At 41.2% G+C, this 18123-nt stretch overlaps 1 protein-coding gene and 1 long non-coding RNA gene across 4 annotated transcripts in view, besides 4 other annotated features; one reads left to right on the top strand and one right to left on the bottom strand.

The window, feature by feature from the left end:
* Window positions 1-18123, top strand: part of PAPPA (pappalysin 1) — a 248531-nt gene that overhangs the window by 122293 nt on the left and 108115 nt on the right. The gene's annotated exons all lie outside the window — the stretch shown is intronic.
* Window positions 2957-3588: an enhancer, noted in NCBI's record as "OCT4-NANOG-H3K27ac hESC enhancer chr9:119041319-119041950 (GRCh37/hg19 assembly coordinates)". NCBI's record gives its function as "activates a minimal SCP1, AML or CMV promoter by ChIP-STARR-seq in primed H9 embryonic stem cells {active_cell/tissue: H9 hESC(primed)}" and the evidence as "EXISTENCE:reporter gene assay evidence [ECO:0000049][PMID:30033119]".
* Window positions 6355-7033: an enhancer, noted in NCBI's record as "OCT4-NANOG hESC enhancer chr9:119044717-119045395 (GRCh37/hg19 assembly coordinates)". NCBI's record gives its function as "activates a minimal SCP1, AML or CMV promoter by ChIP-STARR-seq in naive H9 embryonic stem cells {active_cell/tissue: H9 hESC(naive)}" and the evidence as "EXISTENCE:reporter gene assay evidence [ECO:0000049][PMID:30033119]".
* Window positions 9745-18123, bottom strand: part of PAPPA-AS2 (PAPPA antisense RNA 2) — a 77849-nt gene continuing 69470 nt past the window's right edge. The window contains exons 5-6 of the long non-coding RNA NR_170222.1: window positions 12593-12809; window positions 9745-11505 (exon numbers count right to left, since the gene is read on the bottom strand). This is a non-coding gene — a long non-coding RNA (PAPPA antisense RNA 2). The remainder of the gene's footprint in view (window positions 11506-12592; window positions 12810-18123) is intronic.
* Window positions 9890-10466: an enhancer, noted in NCBI's record as "OCT4-NANOG hESC enhancer chr9:119048252-119048828 (GRCh37/hg19 assembly coordinates)". NCBI's record gives its function as "activates a minimal SCP1, AML or CMV promoter by ChIP-STARR-seq in naive and primed H9 embryonic stem cells {active_cell/tissue: H9 hESC(naive and primed)}" and the evidence as "EXISTENCE:reporter gene assay evidence [ECO:0000049][PMID:30033119]".
* Window positions 10467-11041: an enhancer, noted in NCBI's record as "OCT4-NANOG hESC enhancer chr9:119048829-119049403 (GRCh37/hg19 assembly coordinates)". NCBI's record gives its function as "activates a minimal SCP1, AML or CMV promoter by ChIP-STARR-seq in naive and primed H9 embryonic stem cells {active_cell/tissue: H9 hESC(naive and primed)}" and the evidence as "EXISTENCE:reporter gene assay evidence [ECO:0000049][PMID:30033119]".

Genomic DNA, 18123 nt, shown 5'->3' on the forward strand with positions numbered 1-18123 from the left:
GAGGTTTCAGTGAAAAAATGTGGTATCAGTAAAATGATAACTCTCCCCAACAGGCACTGGCTGCAGGCATTGTTCACAGCATTGGGAATTCTGTCTCTAAAGCATTGAGTCATAAACTACAGACAGGCTGCTGATAAAAGCTGAAGGAGGTGGGATAATAGTCAAATTAGTCAGACAAAATGTGAAGGGTCCCCAAAAGGGGTTATACTGTGTAATATATCTTTAGCTGGTGCTGGAAATGTGTTACCTTCTGAGATGGAATCTAGTGCATTACAGGAGATGCAGCTGTGGAGAAGCCCTCATGCTCTGTTTTGACTTTCCACCCTGTATTCTTCAGCATAGTTGGGTCCAGTTCCCAGTTTAGATCTAGAGGCCTCCTGGCTGCAGCTTAGCACCTCAGAGCCTCAGTTTCTTCCTTTGTGAAATTAGGGAGACTGGACTGAGACTCTAAAGCTTCTTCCCTCATCTGATACTGAGGAATCTCCGATTTGTCAAACAGCTATTTAAAGGCTTTAGGTTTCAAATCCTGCCTGACGCTGATATATAGTTAAGAAAACAAAGGAAAGGGACCCCCACGTCGTCTTTCCCAGACGTGGAGGCATTCCCTGTGTGTCTCTTTTTCTCCCTCCCTCCCCACTCCTCTTCTCTCCCCTACTCCTGCCATTAGCATCACTCTGTGATCCCTGACACAGCATCCCCAGCCCTGTCCTAGAGCCAGGGCCAGTAACTCAATTAGCAACCCCCAGCCCCAGCTCCCTCCCCTCCCCTGTGAGGGACATCGAGGAGAGGAGAAGAATCGGTCTGCCTCCCCACCAGTTGCTGGGAGGGGCAGGGGTTCACCGAGCCTTGTGGCCCCTCTGTCAGGCTGCTCTGGCCTGCTCTGAGCCAAGGCGAGAAAGGAAAACAAGAAGATGAATCGCCACGTCTTCTTGGTGGAGGTTCCGATGAGACTTTAGAACAACAGTGACTGGAAAGAAAAACAGCATCTGCTGGAGGAGAGGGGGAAGAATGGGCTCTGCTGGGAGTTGCATTTATTATTATTTTTCTTTCTAACAACGTGAAATCATAATAGATGATCCACCTCTCACCTTAAAAAAATTAAAATTAAGAAAACAAAATAAAACTTCTCCAGACTGCATGTATTCAATCAGACCTCCCTCCGTGGAAAAAGTAGTAACTTTCCCCAGAACACGTTTTTGAAATAAAGCTTCCCTTGGCTTGAAGGCAGGCCTATGAAAGAGGAAAAAGAAAGAGGAATATAGGTGGGGGTCATGGTGGTAGTGATTAAGGTGACGACGAGGGTGATAATATCTCAGCTAGGTTGGTGGCATTCTTAACACTGGAGTAATGACATAGGGTATCCATTGTTAAGAACACGGATTCTGGGTGGAAAGCCTGTCCCTGACACTTAGCTTGTGTCGCAGTTTTTTCAATCATAAAATGGGTTAGTAAGTTCCTACTTCTTAGAATTATTGCAAGGAAAAACAAGTTTATTTTTGTAAAGCATTTAAAATGGTGACACCTGCCTGACAAGTGTTATAGATGTGTTTGCTACTGATGCTATTATTGTCATAATTAATATTTTATTTTTTATTTTAATTTTTTATTTTTTGAGACAGAATCTCACTCTGTCACCCAGCTGGGGTGCAGCAGCATGATCTGGACTCACTGCAACCTCCGCCTCCCAGGTTCAAGTGATTCTCCTACGTCAGCCTCCTGAGTAGCTGGGATTACAGGCGCGTGCCACCACACCCAGCTACTTTTTGTAGAGACAGAGTTTCACCATGTCGGACAGGCTAGTCTCAAACTCCTGACCTCAGGTGATCTGCCTGCCTTGGCCTCCCAAAGTGCTGGGATTACAGGCGTGAGCCACCGTGCCTGACTGAATATGATTAATTCAGAAGTTATATCCATCTTCCCAGAAACCCTATGAGATAAATAATGTTATCCCCGTTTTGTAGAGGAAAAAACTGTGGTTCAGAGAGATTTAGTAACTTGCCTACAGTTACACAGAGACATAGCAGACGTGAGATTCACAGCATCTAGGCAGAGTCTACACATTTTAACCATGAAGTTATTCCATTTATTAGATACCCAGCTGTGCCAGTTTTTCTGCTAAGAACTCTTTGTAAAAATGATTTCATTCACCCTCCCAGCAACTCTGTAGAGTCAAAATAATTGCACCATTTTGCTGGTCAGAAAATTGAGGCGTTGAGAGGTTAAGTGAATATCCAAAGTCATATAGCCAGGTAGGTCAGAGAAGGAGACTTCAGAGTTTGTCTGTCTGCCCTAAAGCCTATGTCCAACTCCAGACTAACTCTTGAAATAGCCAGAGAGTGTTTCTCTTTTCCACTATTTCTGTTTGGTGCCATTGAATCACAGCAGGAAACAAAAGTGAATGCACATGTCCTTGTGCCATTTTCATGAGTCATGAAACAACAATTTTCAGTTATTATCACCCTAGAAATGTTCCATGGCATAAAGCTCATACCCCCAATGGAGGGTCATTCTGTATTTTAGGCTGTATTTTCATTTTTAACAGATCACCCTCCATTGACAGTAGCCAAATCGTTTTTTTTTTAGCATAGAATGTGTTTGGCACTTAATAAAGTTGTCATAGCAATGTTGGAGACAGAGGAGCTTGAGTTCAAATGTCTATTGGTTGCAATTACTACATGGGTCTTTTTAGGCATCTCTCAATACCTCTGAGTCTCGGTTTCCTCTTCTGAAAAATGGACGTAATTATAACACCTATAGTTTTGTTAAGGAAAAGAATGACATAACATCTATAGAGTGTTTAGCACAATGCACAGCAGTTAGTGGACAATCAAGGATGTCAGTTAACGCCACCTCTTCTTCCCCTTCCTCATTGCCTATCTCAATTGTGACTGATGCAAAGGCAGCCAACCCATCATCAGCAAAAATGGTCCTGAACCAAATCCTGATGCTAAATTACAGTGGTGCCATTTGCAAAATGATCAAACCTCCTAGTTCTCAGTTTCCCCACTGTAAAATAATGAGGGAATTTGATGAGCTCCCAGGGAGCTTTCAGCTCCGATTTTTAGGATTTAAATCCCAGGTTGTTATTGTTTTAAAACTGGTACATTTTAAAAGAAATCAGGGCTTGGGGAAGAGAAAGGAATTCCTTTCACCCAAAGGGTCAAAGGGGGTCACTGAGGGGACAAAAGAGCAGGAAAAGGAGGCGATGGGGCGGAAGGCTGACGTGCGGGCAGCACCAAAGATCTGAAGTACTCAACAGGGAGGTCTGATGGATGCATTCAAACACCCTTGAGTCAGCACCGGTTAGGATCAAGCTTGCCATCCTGCCTCAGACCAAGGCTTACCACCTCCTTTGGAAACCCGGGAGGCCTACCCCACAGAGAGGCAGGGCTGGAATGAAAAGAAACAGAACGGCCTCTGACGCCAGAAGGGAGGAATTCTAGCCCGCAGCCCAGGTCTGCTTCCTGACTCTCAGGAAGGGGTCAGGCTCAGGGAACCGACTTGGTGCTTGCTTGAATGTGAGGAATCGAGACCAAACTTTGATGTGTGCCTTTGAAAGGCAGCCAGAGTCCAAGGCAGGTGAATCTGGGTAGCCAAGAACAAGGACTTCATTGTGATATTTAAAGTGACCAGAAATTCATCTGCACATACATGTGCCTTGATGTACATCTGTGCAGTTATGACTGAGGCGGACTGGGAGAGGGTAGAGGCCTCTAGGCTGGGTATCAGGGCCTTTTCTTAGCTCCTGGCTCTCAGTTGTTTCTTGGAGTCCATGTTGGGTTGGAAAAGACATTTAATATTCATGAGCTGTGATCTCTACTTGAAGGGAGTGCCCTGAGGGAAATTGAAATATTAAGCAAGTGAGGGATATAGACCTAATTGTAGCCTCCTTTTCTTTTTGGACAGAAAAGTAATGTGCCTAAAATAAAATGATGGATGGGCAGTAAGGATTGTGTGAAAACCTCACTGCTAGAGCCTGCAGGAAAAAATCGGCTGCTTGCCCCAACATGTGCAGTCGGACCCAGGCAGAAGATTCTGCAAATTGGCTGCTGGATGATGTCATTCATTCATTTAGTTCATATTTTTTGATGCCTGCTGTATGCCAGGCACTGTGCTTGTTTCAAAGAAAACAGCAGTGAAAAAGGAAGGCCAGGGAGGTTAGGAAAATGATACAAATAATTATTTAAGTGTCATTGTGGAAAATGGCACTAAATGGAAATACTTGGAAGTATATAACCAAAGGGCCTCCTTTACATTGAGGGGGTCAAGGAGATCTCCTTGAAGATTTGACATTTAAGCTGAGACTTGAGGGTTGAGTAGGATGTGGACTCATTAGGGAGATATGGAACAGGTAACTGAGCAAGGATTGCAAGAAGTTAAGACTATTCAATTCCCAAGGCAGAGAAGAACTTTTGAAGAGGGAAAAGCAAGTCAGCATTGCTGGACTGTAGTGAACAAAGGAGGGATGAGGCTGAAGTCTAGCAGTCTCTGATTTCTCAGGCCCTTGAGGACTGTGGTGAAGCTGCTATTTACGGCATGAAGGAAGGAGAAGTTGACTCAAGCATATACCTTCTACACTCTCTACCAAGCCCTGCCCTGGGCATAATAGCCATGTGCATGCTTGCACAGACCAGGTGTCAGTAAACCACCACCCATGGCCAACCCAGCCTGCTGCCTGTTTTCATAGACAAAGTTTTACTGAAACACAACTATGCTCCTTTGTTTACATATTTGCCACTACAAAGGTGGAGTTGAGTCATTCCAACAGAAATCTTGTATGGACCACAAAGCCAAAATATTTACCATCTGGTCCTTTACTGAAAAGTTGTTGACTGCTGGCAGAGGTGGATGAGTACACAGTTGGCCTGTCATATCCTCAGATCCTACATCCTCAGATTCAACCAATCTCAGATACAAAATATTTGAAACTAACTGGCTAAATAAATAACACTACGACAATTTAAAAACAGCACAAATAGAAAAAACAATAAAGTATTTCCAATGTATTAAGTTTTATGAGTAATCTAGAGCTGATTTAAAGTACATGGTAGGGTGTGCATAGGTCATATGCAAATACTAAGGGACTTTATATAAGGGTCTTGAATATCTTCAGATTTTTGTATCCAAGGGGGTCCAGAGACCAATGCTTCGAAGATACCTAGAGATGACTGTGTAAGCGGGTAAAAGTATAGCCAGTTGGGCAGAATAAGCCAGATGAGAGAGACAGCGCGAGGAGTTAGACAATCATTTCATCCATCTCCCTCCTGAGCCTATACCAGCATAGCTATAATTTCACTGACTCCTCATGTATTTTACTTCCACATCTGTGTCCCTTACCCTTAAGGGAAGAAGCCTTGCCATCTACCCTCGTGTCCCAACATCCAGCTCGAGCCAATCATTGAGACACTGAAGCAAATGACACTCTGAGGCTAAAAAGGGTGGCCAGAGGAACCCAAACAGATGACCTTCCAAACGGTTTAGGCAGCATCCAGGATCCTCCCCTGACCAGTAGAAGGGACTGTATTGATATTTATGGAGAACCTGCTGCAGTAGCTCATTTCAAACCCACAGCACCCCTGGCTACCAGGTATTGTTAACACCACATTCCAGGTGACACAACAGAGCCCCCAAATGTTTAAGTGACTTTTGAGAATGTGGCCTCCATTCAATAAATATTTACTGAGCTGGGAAACCACCCACCAGACAAGCAAATCTTCCTGAGTGCTGCATCTTATGCCAGGCCAACTGCCTCACACCCCACTTAACCATCCTCTTGATTTTCCCAAGGCTACGGGAAGGTAGGGGCCATTATCCCCCACTTTACACGAGGAGAAGTTCAGGCTCAAGAAGATGAAATGGCTTATTCAAAGCGGGTGCTTATTAAGTGACAGAGTTGAGATTTGAACCAAGATCTGCCCAACTTCAAAACTAAAGTCACCAGATGACCTCCTCCAAAATATGAAACCTTTAGAACAAGAAGGAGCCAGTGAGAAATATACAGTCATCCCTCAGTATCCTTGGGCGATTTCTGCCAGGACCTCTGTGAACACCAAAATCTGTGGCTGCTCAATTCCCTGATATAAAATGGAGTAGTATTTGCATGTAACCTATGCACACCTTCCTATATACTTCAAATCATCTCTAGATTACTTCTAATACCTAATACAATGTAAATGCTACATAAATAGTTGTTATACTGTAATGTTTAGGGAATAAGAACAAGAAAAAATGTCTATACATGTTTAGTACAGATAGAATTTTATTTTGCATCTCTTGAATTCACAGATGGAGAACCCATGAATATGGAGGGCCAACTGCATAGACTGCATATATTTCCACCCTTTTTCCATCTCACCATCTCAGACAAAAGTCATAATAGTATACATAACTCAAATTATTAATTTAATTAAATTAATTGGATAAAATTCACTCAAGCTTTTTCTCTATTAATTCCACTGGTTAATCACATTAATGCTATGAGGTAGTTTTAACATTATACAGGCATTATAAGTAAGGAAATGGAGGCACAGAGATGTTACGTTCCCAGTAAGGGATTCTAGCCCTGGAAGTCTCTGGCTCTTAAGCCCTCAGGCTTAACTACTAATTTATGCTACATCTCCATCATTAAGGTTATCTAATAAAGTGTGTACTCTCAAGAGCTGAACAGCCTAGCAGCAAACAGATAATGAGAAGGGGAAACAATGCAGGAAGCTAAAGAAATCTTCACATAACAAAAGGATCCCAGGGTCTTTTTAAGAAACACTGTCTGAAGTGTTTGTTTACAGATCATTAAATACTTAACAGAGGAAGAAACTAAAAACCACTGACTTTCTCTAAGCCAATACTGATTAAGTACCAAAGAGATGTTAACATAAAGCAAATAAGAAATTATAATAATTATTAAAGGACTGAGTTTTTTTCATTTTATCTTACTGGACAGAAAGATAAAATAGCCCAGGTCCAGTGCCTGTCACTCTGCCCTCATGCACACGGTTGCTTTTCTCTCTCCTCCAGGCAGCAGCCATGGTGGTCCTGCAATCAGCCTAAAATGCATGTGACCAGGCTCACACTGATTATTGTCTATATTAAGCACCTGCTGCATACAAAGTTCTGTGCAATGCAGGGTTAAGCAGCAGAAACCTTTGTTAGAGGGCTGCAGAAGACAGTGGTCATTAAAGATATGAAGGGATTGGCATTAGAGGTCCCCTGGGAGCAGTGGAAAGCCTCTGGTGCAGGGGTTGGTGAGCCTGGGAAAGATTTCTGGACAGTGGGACTCAGATAAGACCAGGTTTGACACTCTGCCACTATAAAGATCCAGACAGAGGGTTTTTCTCTATACAGTGAGTGCACCAGTCCTAAAGGAAACTACTCCAGGGAAGTCACAGGGGGTGAGTGGGCAGTTCTCATCCCATAGCAAGCAGTAGTTTCTGGGCAGAGGCATAACATGATAGGAGCAGTATTTTAAAAAAGATCAACCTCCCTGAATGGGATGCTCTTCAAGGGCCAACAAAATACTCTTGGCAAACTGACCCAAAGAGAAATCAGGGTGATTTTAGCTTTCAACAGCAGTCAGAAACCCAGCCCAAATTATCCGTAAGTTTAAATTTAACTATCAGCCGCCATTGGCAGGACTCTGAAAGGTCCTGGCTGGAGTTGGTTCCTCAGTTTAGGAGTCCAAAACCACATGTATAGCTTGAGTTCAGCCTCATTACCAAGGAAGGGTCTCCACAAGAGTCTGAAATCCCTTTTCCATTTGTCCCGTGTGCATTTTGCCAAGAGAACTTCTAAAGGGACAGGGAGGGAGGAAAAGCTGATTGACCAGCCCCGAAGCACAAGGACCACTTGTCTGCCTCAGGGTTCATCCCCCAAATACCTTTTTCCACCTGAGAAGTAGGAGTGATATTCCTGACTTCATATGATTGTTATGATATATTGTTTTATTAATTTATAAACTTATTCATTCATCACATAGGCTTTTATTTATTGAGCACCTCTTATGTGCCAGGTTCATGCTAGACACCAAGGATGCCTGTGTTTGTGACAGTTCCTGTCTTCCAGAAAGTGATCAACAAATATTGATTATTATGGCTAACAAAAATAATAATCTAGTTCTTACTCACAAGTAGAGAGTGACCTGTCCCCGGAAGAGATTGAGCAGAAATTTGAGAATCATTCTTTAGGGAAGTCATGCATGAGATTCTATTAAATAGCATGTTCAAACAGACATATTTCAATATTTTTCTCTTTTGTCTTATCTGGCTCTTTCTTGAAATTCAGAACTCCTGGTACCTGTGAAGTGTTAGCCTCTTCTGTTTTTCTTAACTTTTCTGACCATCCCTCCACAGACCTTCTTTCACCTACTCTTTAAGTATCAGCAGTCTCCAATGTTCCATAATAGGCACACTTCTCATTCTCCATTCTCTCCTTGTATGACTCCAAAATCTCTATCTTTAGTCTGGGCCTTTTTTTTTTTTTTTTTTTTTTTGACCCATGAACTTGTATATCTAATTGCTCTACTTTGACGCCCCAAGGGAACTCACATTCGACACATCTTACACAAAGCTTGCCATCTTTCTTTCCAGACCTGCTGCAAGTGTTTTTCCTAATCTCAACTGGTGGCGCCAGTAGCCAACCAGACATTTAAACAGAAGCTTGGGAAACATCCATAACTCTTCCCTCTCTGCCATTTCCCACATCCAAATAATTGCCATTCTTCCCATTTTACTTTGAAAACGTTATCTTGTCTGCGTCCAAATCAGTCTCTCTCGCCCCATGATCATTACTCTACCTGAGGCCCTCTTCAGCTCCTGATTAGGCTTTTATAAGAGAAAGCTTGTAAAATGAACATGTTGCTTGTTCATTTTTTTGCTTGCCCCAATCTACCTGCCCATAGGTGAGAGCAAGTTTCCTAAAGTGCAGACACCTTTTGTTGCTCTCCAATTGAGAGTGTCAGATGGCTCCATGTTGCCCTTGAGATAAATTTAAATTCCTTACTGTGTCATTTAAGACCTTGCGTGATCTGAGCCCAGGATTTGCTTTTCTTTTCTTTTTCTTTTTTCTTTCTTTTTCTTTTTCTTTTCTTTCTTTCTTTTTTTTTTTTTTTTTTTGACAGATTCTCACTTTGTTGCCAGGCCAGAGTGCAGTGGCACTGTCTGGGCTCACTGCAACCTCCACCTCCTGGGTTCAAGTGATTCTCCTGCCTCAGCCTCCCAAGTAGCTGGGACTACAGGCACATACCACCACACCCAGCTAATTTTTGTATTTTTGTAGACATGGGGTCTCACCATGTTGGCTAGGATGGTCTCGATCTCTTGACCTTGTGTCCTGCCCACCTCGGCCAGGATTTGCATTTTATACTCCAATACCATCTTGTGCTTTATACCTCCTACTATATTGCTGGCCTCATCTCATTTGCTCACAGTGTCCCCCTGCTGGAATGTGCTCCTCACCACCCGTTCCTCCTCTGAGAGATACAGCCCAGGTGTTGCCTCCTAAGGGAAACCTTCTTAAATCTGGGTTAGATTGGATTGGGGGTCCCTCCTCTGTGCTCCCACAGTATCTTGTACCTCATGAGGGTCAGAATCCTGTGCCGTCATCATTTACATATCTCCCCTCTCACTAGGACCTGAGTTCTTGGAGCACTGAGACCTGCTTTAATTCATCTGATTTCCCAAGAGTTAGTCCAGGGACTGACAAATAATTTGCAGTTCAGTAAATATAGAATAAATGAGTAAAAGAAGGATGTATTTCTTAAGAGACAGTTTTATTTTTCAGGCAAGAAAGTGTAGTTGAGCTTTGCTGGTCTTTAGAGTCAGACAATCCTGTTTGAATAGGAGACTTTCCCCCTTAGCTGTCATCTCGGGCAGGTTATCTTGGGTCAGGTGGCTTGGGGTGGTGGTTTCATGCTCAGACCCCTGAACTGGGCTGCTTGTATCCAAATCCTAGTTCCCCCACAAAAGGGGTGGGGGCTTCTTTAAAATGTTAATGTTACTATATCGATACACCAAGAGGTAGAAAGTATGCTATCTTAGCCAGCAGTACTTTTTTGAGGCTTCTTTCACTAAGTAGAGACGGGCTCAAATGCTGCCTTTCCTTCTCTATCTCTATACTGACAGAGGTCATTACTCTTTGGTAAGGTCCAAAGGCTTTAGAATTTTAGAAGAATGGGTGGGTGGAACCAGTGATTTTGGTGGTATTTGGATCACCCCATAAGACTCTCGGATGGCCCCAAATTGAGCTGCTTTTTAATACCAAATCTCAGTCTGCGGCTTGCTTCCATTTGGGGAGAGAGCCTAATTAACTCGTAGCTGGAAAGAACTGCAGGTCTGCCACCCCCCAGGCAGAGAATTCAAAAGGAAGTGGATAGCTGTGTAAATAACACTGCTTTAAGGGGCATTTAAGCCAATGCTCTTTGTTAAGGAAATTGATGGCTTTGTAAGTACTGCGTCTGAAGGGAGTACTTGAGCTGAAGGTCCCCATCTCGCCTCGTAAATTTCCTAATGGACTGTGGGCCTGCAGGCTGGGCCCAGCGTGTTCAATCACTTGCCAACAAAAACTCGGATTTCACTCTAAAAAAATTAAAAACGTTTAACCAAAACATAAGTTATTGAGCCTGTGCAGTTTAACTGTGGCACAAGGTAGCAGAGACAGATTACTTCCTTTAAGGAAAGGGAAACTCCTCATCTTTTACTTTAAAAAATTTGTTTTTTAAATGCTGGATGTGGTGCTACGTGCTTTCTCAACAGCTTCTCATTTTTTTGTCCTCATAACAGTTGGGAAGGTAGTCATTATTTTGCCAATTTGCCAAAGAGGAAACGGACTCAGGGCTAAAGTGTGCTGGTCATTGACACCAGCTAATTAGTGAAGAGCCAGGTTGTGATCACAGCTCCATCAGGCCCCTGAGCCCCCAAGTAGTGCCAAATCATAGGGCATCCGAGAGAGAATCAGATCAGCCCATCTCATCAGATTCTCCTGAATATCCACATCCATTCAAAATAGATTAACTGGACAGCATGGGAATGACTTACCCTCTTGAAACCTCAATTTCATTGTCTGTAAAATGGGGATAATAATAGGACCAAACACGGGGCTCTTCTAGATTTGAATGCCTTATGTACTTGAAACATTTAGCACAATGCCCAGCATGGAGAAAGTCATCCAGTTATTCATTTCACAAATACGCTAAGTACAATTTTAACTGGGGAAGCGGATGATGGTATAGGAAGACCTAGTGAGGGTCCATTAGCCCTTCTGGGGGTGGGTTTCCAGGCAGGTTTTTGAGAGGTTAAACTGTGAATAAAGGACAAATGGGGACTAGTCACAGAAAAGGCAGCTCTGGGGATTTGAAGAAAGCTTCTGCAAACGTGGGGAGGTGAGAGGGAACATGGTCCACTCAGGGCAACGACAATTTGTGTCTGGAGCTTAGACTAGAGTGCGTTCGAGAAGAGAGAAGCCTGCAGAGGCAGGCAAGGACCAGAGTACACCTTGTCAATCATCATCAAGCTCCTGTTGGGAAAAGTTGAATGAATAACTCAGTATCTTCTAGGGCAACCACTTTCAATTTTAGACCAACTGTACTTTGTTAGAAGAGTTTTCCATTGTGTCCTCCCTGAGCCTTCTTTTCTTCAGGTTAAGCATCTTCATACCTACATGATTATTGCTCAGTGGTTGGTGCCTATCCAGGGTCCTATTCTTTGACCATATCCTACCACATCAGTGGCCCAGAATTGGCCTCTTCAGCCATGACTGGTCCAGCTAGGACTGGAGACAACTTCTCTGGCCTCTAGCTTGGAATCTATAGCCAATGACTCAATCTGCAGTCTCATGCTTTTGTTTGGGCAAACACATCCTTCATTTGGCGGAATCTGACTTCAGAGTGACTGCTTCTTGGAACTTTTCGTGAACATGAATAGTTATGATGACTCTTATCATCCCTGATCAAAAAGGGCAGTGGTTTTGATTGATATTTTCAAATGTTCCCAGTTAACTCTTAAGATTTAGGACCAGGCCAGGCGCGATGGCTTACACCTATAATCCCAGCACTCTGGGAGGCTGAAATGGGCGGATCACGAGGTCAGGAGTTTAAGACAAGCCTGACAAACATGGTGAAACCCTGCCTCTACTAAAAATACAAAAATTAGCCGAGTGTAGTGGTCCGTGCCTGTAATCCCAGCTACTTGGGAGGCTGAGGCAAGAGAATCGCTTGAACCCGAGAGGCAGAGGTTGCAGTGAGCCAAGATTGCGCCACCGCACTCAAGCCCAGGTGACAGAGCGCACTCAAGCCCAGGTGTCAAAAAAAGAAAAAGAGAAAAGATTTAGGACCAATTTATTTCTGTCTCCCTCCCTCCCTCCCTCCCTCCCTCCCTTCCTTCCTTCCTTGCTCCCTCCCTCCCTCCCTGCCTCCCTTTCTTCCTTCTCTCACTGCTTTCCCTCTTCTTACTGAGAGATGAGAAAGACATATACACACCTTGTTAAAGAAGAAAATTACAGCTAAGCAATACAAATCAGAACATATAGATTTAAGTTATTATAGTATTTTTATTCTAAGGGCTGAAGAGTAACCCATTCATTACATAAGAAAAAGAAAACTTACCCAAGAGCAATCTTGTGCACTGTCTCTCTTCTGTTCTGTAGAGGACTGCAGTGTGTCTCACCAGCTTGGAGATAGAAGACACTGTGGCTTGAATGGCTCATCTTTTTAGACTTATCGAAACCATATAGCAGGAGGATGGTCTTTGAGGTGAACCAAACCAGTCAGAGTTCAGGGTGGGAGGGATCCATTTTAACACTCTGGTTTCTGCATGGGAGCCCTGCCAAGAACATAGCATGCTGCGGTCACCTTAGTCACAACCAGCTATGCCAGATTGGGGTAACTGGCTTGGTTTTCATGTGGTGCCTGACTCATCCTCGAGTCCTTGGCCCACTGGTAGACATAGCATCCACTTGTCCAAGCTTCTTTCTTTGCTGGACTCTTATGCATGCCCTATCAGAATGACGGGCTGCTTGTTTTACTGGATTGCAGAATAGATATGCATATACATATATATATATATATATATATATATATATATATATATAGCATATATATATAGCATATATGTAGCATATATATAGCATATATATATAGCATATATGTAGCATATATATATAGCATATATATATAGCATATATGTAGCATATATATATAGCATATATATAGCATATAAATAGCATATATATAGCATATATATGGCATATATATGGCATATATATAGCATATATATGGCATATATATGGCATATATATGGCATATATATAGCATATGTATATATAGCTATATATATATAGCATATATATAGCATATATATATATAGACTTTCATTTGCATGCATTGTTTTACTTAATGCTTACAAACATGCATTTCTCACAGAGCAATTTTTATTTGACATTGAATATTCCCAATATTTGTATAATAAGCCTTAATCAGCCAGTCAGAACCCTTGACCTCTAACATTTATGCAGCATTCAGTGAGTTACTTAATCTTTCTAAGTTTCAGTTGCCACTTTATACAGAGAAGCACAGGAATTAGAATCATATAGAATGTCTAGAGAACCTTGCAGTGTTAAAACGTTCATTCGTTCAGCAAATATTTCTGATTATCTTCTATGTACTAGTATCTGACTGCAACAATGCACACAACAGCCTATGTTTCTGCTCTCAAGGAGTTGCCATTCTGTTTTAGAGAGAATACAATTATCAAGCAAACATTTGAAGAAGTGAGATCATGCTATGAAGGGAATAAAATAGACTAGTGGTATAGACACTCTAGTGAAGGTGAAAACTATTTGTTGATAGTGTGTTTAGAAAAGTCCTCACTGAGAAGGTAATGGTTGAGCTAAGACCTAAACAAAAAATTAGAAAAGCCATTTGATAATTGGGGAGATGAGGTCTGGATTGTATCTGCAAAAGTAAAATGTGAAAACAACACAGCTTATAGTTTTTATGTTTGAGTAGTTTTTAGTTTTCACAGCATTATTTTACTTTATCTTTACACCCACTTTTGAAAATGGGTAGGAAAATAATGCTGTCATTTTTTTTAATAAGCAAAAAGAATCAGATGCAGAATGATGATGTATGTTACTGGTACCATGAAAGTAAGTTAGCAACAGAGTTGAGGCACACACTTTACCTTCTGGCCCCTTATTCCATCTGCTTTTCGTTATAGTTCTATGCATGTTTTTCAGAATGGGTTCATCATCTACACGCTTCTCGATCTTCATTTTGCTGATCATGTTTCTCCATCTTTTTTTTTTTTTCATGTTTCCCCTCTTAACTGAATAACTGATTTAGTGATCAAAGGGCAAAATGTCAAGAACCAAATATATCTTAGAGTGACACAGCTAAAAGGGATCACAAAGCTACTTGATTTAACTCTTATTCTATACAAGGGGAAACTGCAGCCCAGAGAGGGAAAGTGACTTGTCCAAAGTCATAGGGTTGATCAGGGCATCTATTCTAATCTCCAGTTCCCTTGACTCCCTGACCATTACTGTAGCAGGCTGCAGAGTTTGAGAAAGTGTCTCATATTTTCTCTCTTTTCTTTCTCTCTCTCTCTTTCTTTCTTCCTTCCTTTCTCTCTCTCTTTTTTTTAATATGGAGATACAATCACACTAAAACTGCTGAAACTCCCTTTGTAGTTTGCCATCTTTTATTACCCTCTTTCTTTGCCACTTTTTGCACACTCTCTGCATATCCATGTTTTGGATTTTTTTTTCCATTTATTAGCTTATATTATCCAGGCCAAATTTCATTTCATTATTTCCTGCCCATACTTTTATAGACCTTTGGGTCCTAGGTATTGCTCTTCCTTCTGTTTGTGGTTAGAATGCCAGCCTATCTCTTGGCTGCTATATAATTCATGTGACACTGGATTTTACCGCCTCTTTCATATCTTGAGATATCATTGAAACCCAAAAGAGAACTGGCTGAAAGTCATTTAGGGCTTTGAACATTCTGCTCTGTTGGCTGCATTGTCATTTATAAGGATTACTATCTTTGCTTACAATCTTTTTAAGCCATTCAAATTACTATACTAAATTTAAGGTGATGTAAATGCATCTTCAAGTTCCAATTCATAAGACTGTCAAATCTCTTTATTAAATTTTACTCTAATATGTGCTACCTTTCCTATCCAGATATTCCATTTCTTTTCAAATTCAGTTAGGATAGAAAATAAAACAATATATAAGACAGATGGTGAGGCATGATGTCTCATAGGAAAAAAAATATATTGTGGGACAATTTGTGTAGAATTGGATTTTCCCCCTAATATGTGCTTGGATTTATGCTCTGACCTCTTTATAATTAATATTTTCATAAAAATTTTTACATAATACTATCTGCTAAAGCAGATTGAAATCAGGTTTGGGACATCTTCAGAATCATTGATAACAGAGATTCTAAAACTCCAAAATAACTTTGTTAATTCATCATTTACTGAGTATCTGCTATGAGATTGACACTATCCTAAGTATTCGGGATATTAATTAAAGTAAGACAAGGGCCAGAAATATCTGAAAATTCAAGAGCTGTACAAAATCATTCATTTATTCACTTATTCATGTATTTTTAAACATGACATAATATAGCCAGGTAGTTTTCTTGACCCTAATGGAAAAGATGCACTTTGAAACATGCTTCTATTAAACTTGTGTTGGTTGTATGGGAGCAGGGAACAATAATAAATAAATATTTTATTTTTTATTTTATTTATTTTAAATAAAATAAATATTTAAAATAGTGAATACTACAGTAAAGGAAATAAAACAATATGGTATGCTACTTTGCAGTGGGGATGGAGGATTAGAATGTGAATTAACTGCTTGTTACTTGAATATTTGAAATGACTGCTAAATAATGAAGAGGTCATGAGAAAAGCCAAGAAAGAGATATTCCAGAAAATGTGAACATCAAGTTCAGGTTCTTGGATGCTTACTTAAGGAATAGATACTTGTTGTGTCGATAGATGTCTGTCTGGATGAATGAATGAATGCATGAATGAATGGAAGGTAGTGAGCAAGGAGGACAGTAACAGAAGATGGAGGGATAAAGCAGGGGCTTGTAGGCCTGGATACAGACTTTGAACTCTTCCACATGAGATGTTAAGCCATTGAGGAGTTTTAGATGAGGGGCATGGCATGGCGTAGTTTACGTTTTTAGAAGAGCACTATAGCTGTTCTGAAGGAGGGATAGTTGGGAAACAAATGGTTGAGAAAAGAGAAGCAGATAGGCTGGTTAAGTGAGAATTGCAGCAGTGATGTTGGCTTGAACTAGGGTGGTAATGATAGAACAAATTAGATCTATTTTAAATATCCCAGGGAAAAGGAGCCTATAAGGTATACTGATGGACTTTGTGTGGTGTTAAAGGGTGAGCTGAAAAAAAGTAGGACAGATGACTGGGAAGGTTTTGGTTTGGTCATTGTTAAGTGATGGTGTTGTCATTTACTAAGGTGGAGAAAAAGGGAATGTGGGGAGAAATCAGTATTTTTGTTTTAGATATGTTTTTTGATGTCTTTTGATGATTTTGTGATGCCTTTAAATAGGCAGATATTTAGTAGAGATATAATTTTAGGCAGTTGGGACTCAGAGAAGAGGTCATATCTAAGGCTATAAATGTTTCAGTGATTGGCACATAGAGGTTTTAAAATTTTTATTTAGAAACTGAGACAGGATGAGAAACTGTAGATAAAAAAGAAAAAGGGGTCCCCATCTAACCCTGAAGTCTGGCAGCATTCCATGTAGAGTTAGGGAAGGAGAAGCCCTCAAATGAGTCTGTGGGGGAGGATCCCAGACAACTAGGATGACATGATGTCATGGAAGTCAAGAGAGGGAGGACTGCAAGAAGACAGGAGGGGGCTACTTCTTTATATGCTTCAAGGCAGTCTAGCAAGATGGGGATTTTGACATCATGCTCAGCTTTAGCAACTTTGAGGTTGATGACGACGTTAATGAGATTGATTTTGGTGGAGTGGTGAGTATAGAAGCTAGACTGGAGAGAACCGATAGGTGAAGTGCAGGAGACAAAGTGAATAACACTAGTTTAGATAACGCAATAAATTTTACTGTGAATCATAGAAAGAGAGATGTGGGATAGGAGAAATAGTATTTAGGAGACGTATAACAGAATGAAAGGAGGTTTGCGTTTTTATTAATTTAAAAACTTTGAATTTTTCAAGAATTTTTACATTTTTAAATCTTTAGATGGGCTATATTCTATTTTGCTGATTTGGGAGACTAATGATGTAGGAAATAGAGGGAAATGGTTTGTACCAAACAAGTAGTGATGCAGAAAAGTGAGAGATGTCATGGAGCTGAAGTTGCTAGAACTGAATCTTAATGGAAGACTCATAGGCAGGACCAGCCTTTCAGGCTAAGGAAGTAAGGGCAGATGCTCTGAGATGTGAGTTCTGGGAAAGAACTGGATGCATTTGACGGTGGAGATGTGGTTGGAACTAAGAATAAATAGGAAAGTTGGAGCTAGATTACAAAAAGACTTGAAAGCTAGTTGGGGAAGTTAAAATTTTGTAGGAGTCTATGAAGTATTTCAAACAGGCTGGGCACGGTGGCTCATGCCTGTAATCCCAGCATTTTGGGAGGTCAAGGCAGGCGGATCACCTGAGGTCGGGAGTTCGAGACCAGCCTGACCAATGTGGAGAAACCCCGTCTCTATTCAAAATACAAAAAATTCGCCGGCTTGGTGGCGCATTCCTGTAATCCCAGCTACTCAGGAGGCTGAGGCAGGAGAATCACTTGAACCCACGGAGGTTGCAGTGAGCCAAGATTGCACCATTGCACTTCAGCCTGGGCAACAAGAGCAAAACTCTGTCTCAAAATAAATAAATAAATAAATAAAGTATTTCAAACATGAAAATATTCATATTTTAGATAAATCATTCATAGATTCATAAGCTGCTTTGTGAGAAGGGATTGAGGTGAGGAAGATGCAAAGCCAGTTTTGAGTGTGTAAGGGCTAAGTAGATAGAATATGAGGCTGTGCTATAGGTGCCTTCCTTGATGGGCCTGAGTGTAGAGTTAGTGTGATAATGTGATTACTTCCAGGGATGCTCTTCTTTTCCAGTGCCTTC

Source organism: Homo sapiens, chromosome 9 (assembly GCF_000001405.40).
Source record: "Homo sapiens chromosome 9, GRCh38.p14 Primary Assembly".
Taxonomy (NCBI): Eukaryota; Metazoa; Chordata; class Mammalia; order Primates; family Hominidae; genus Homo; species Homo sapiens.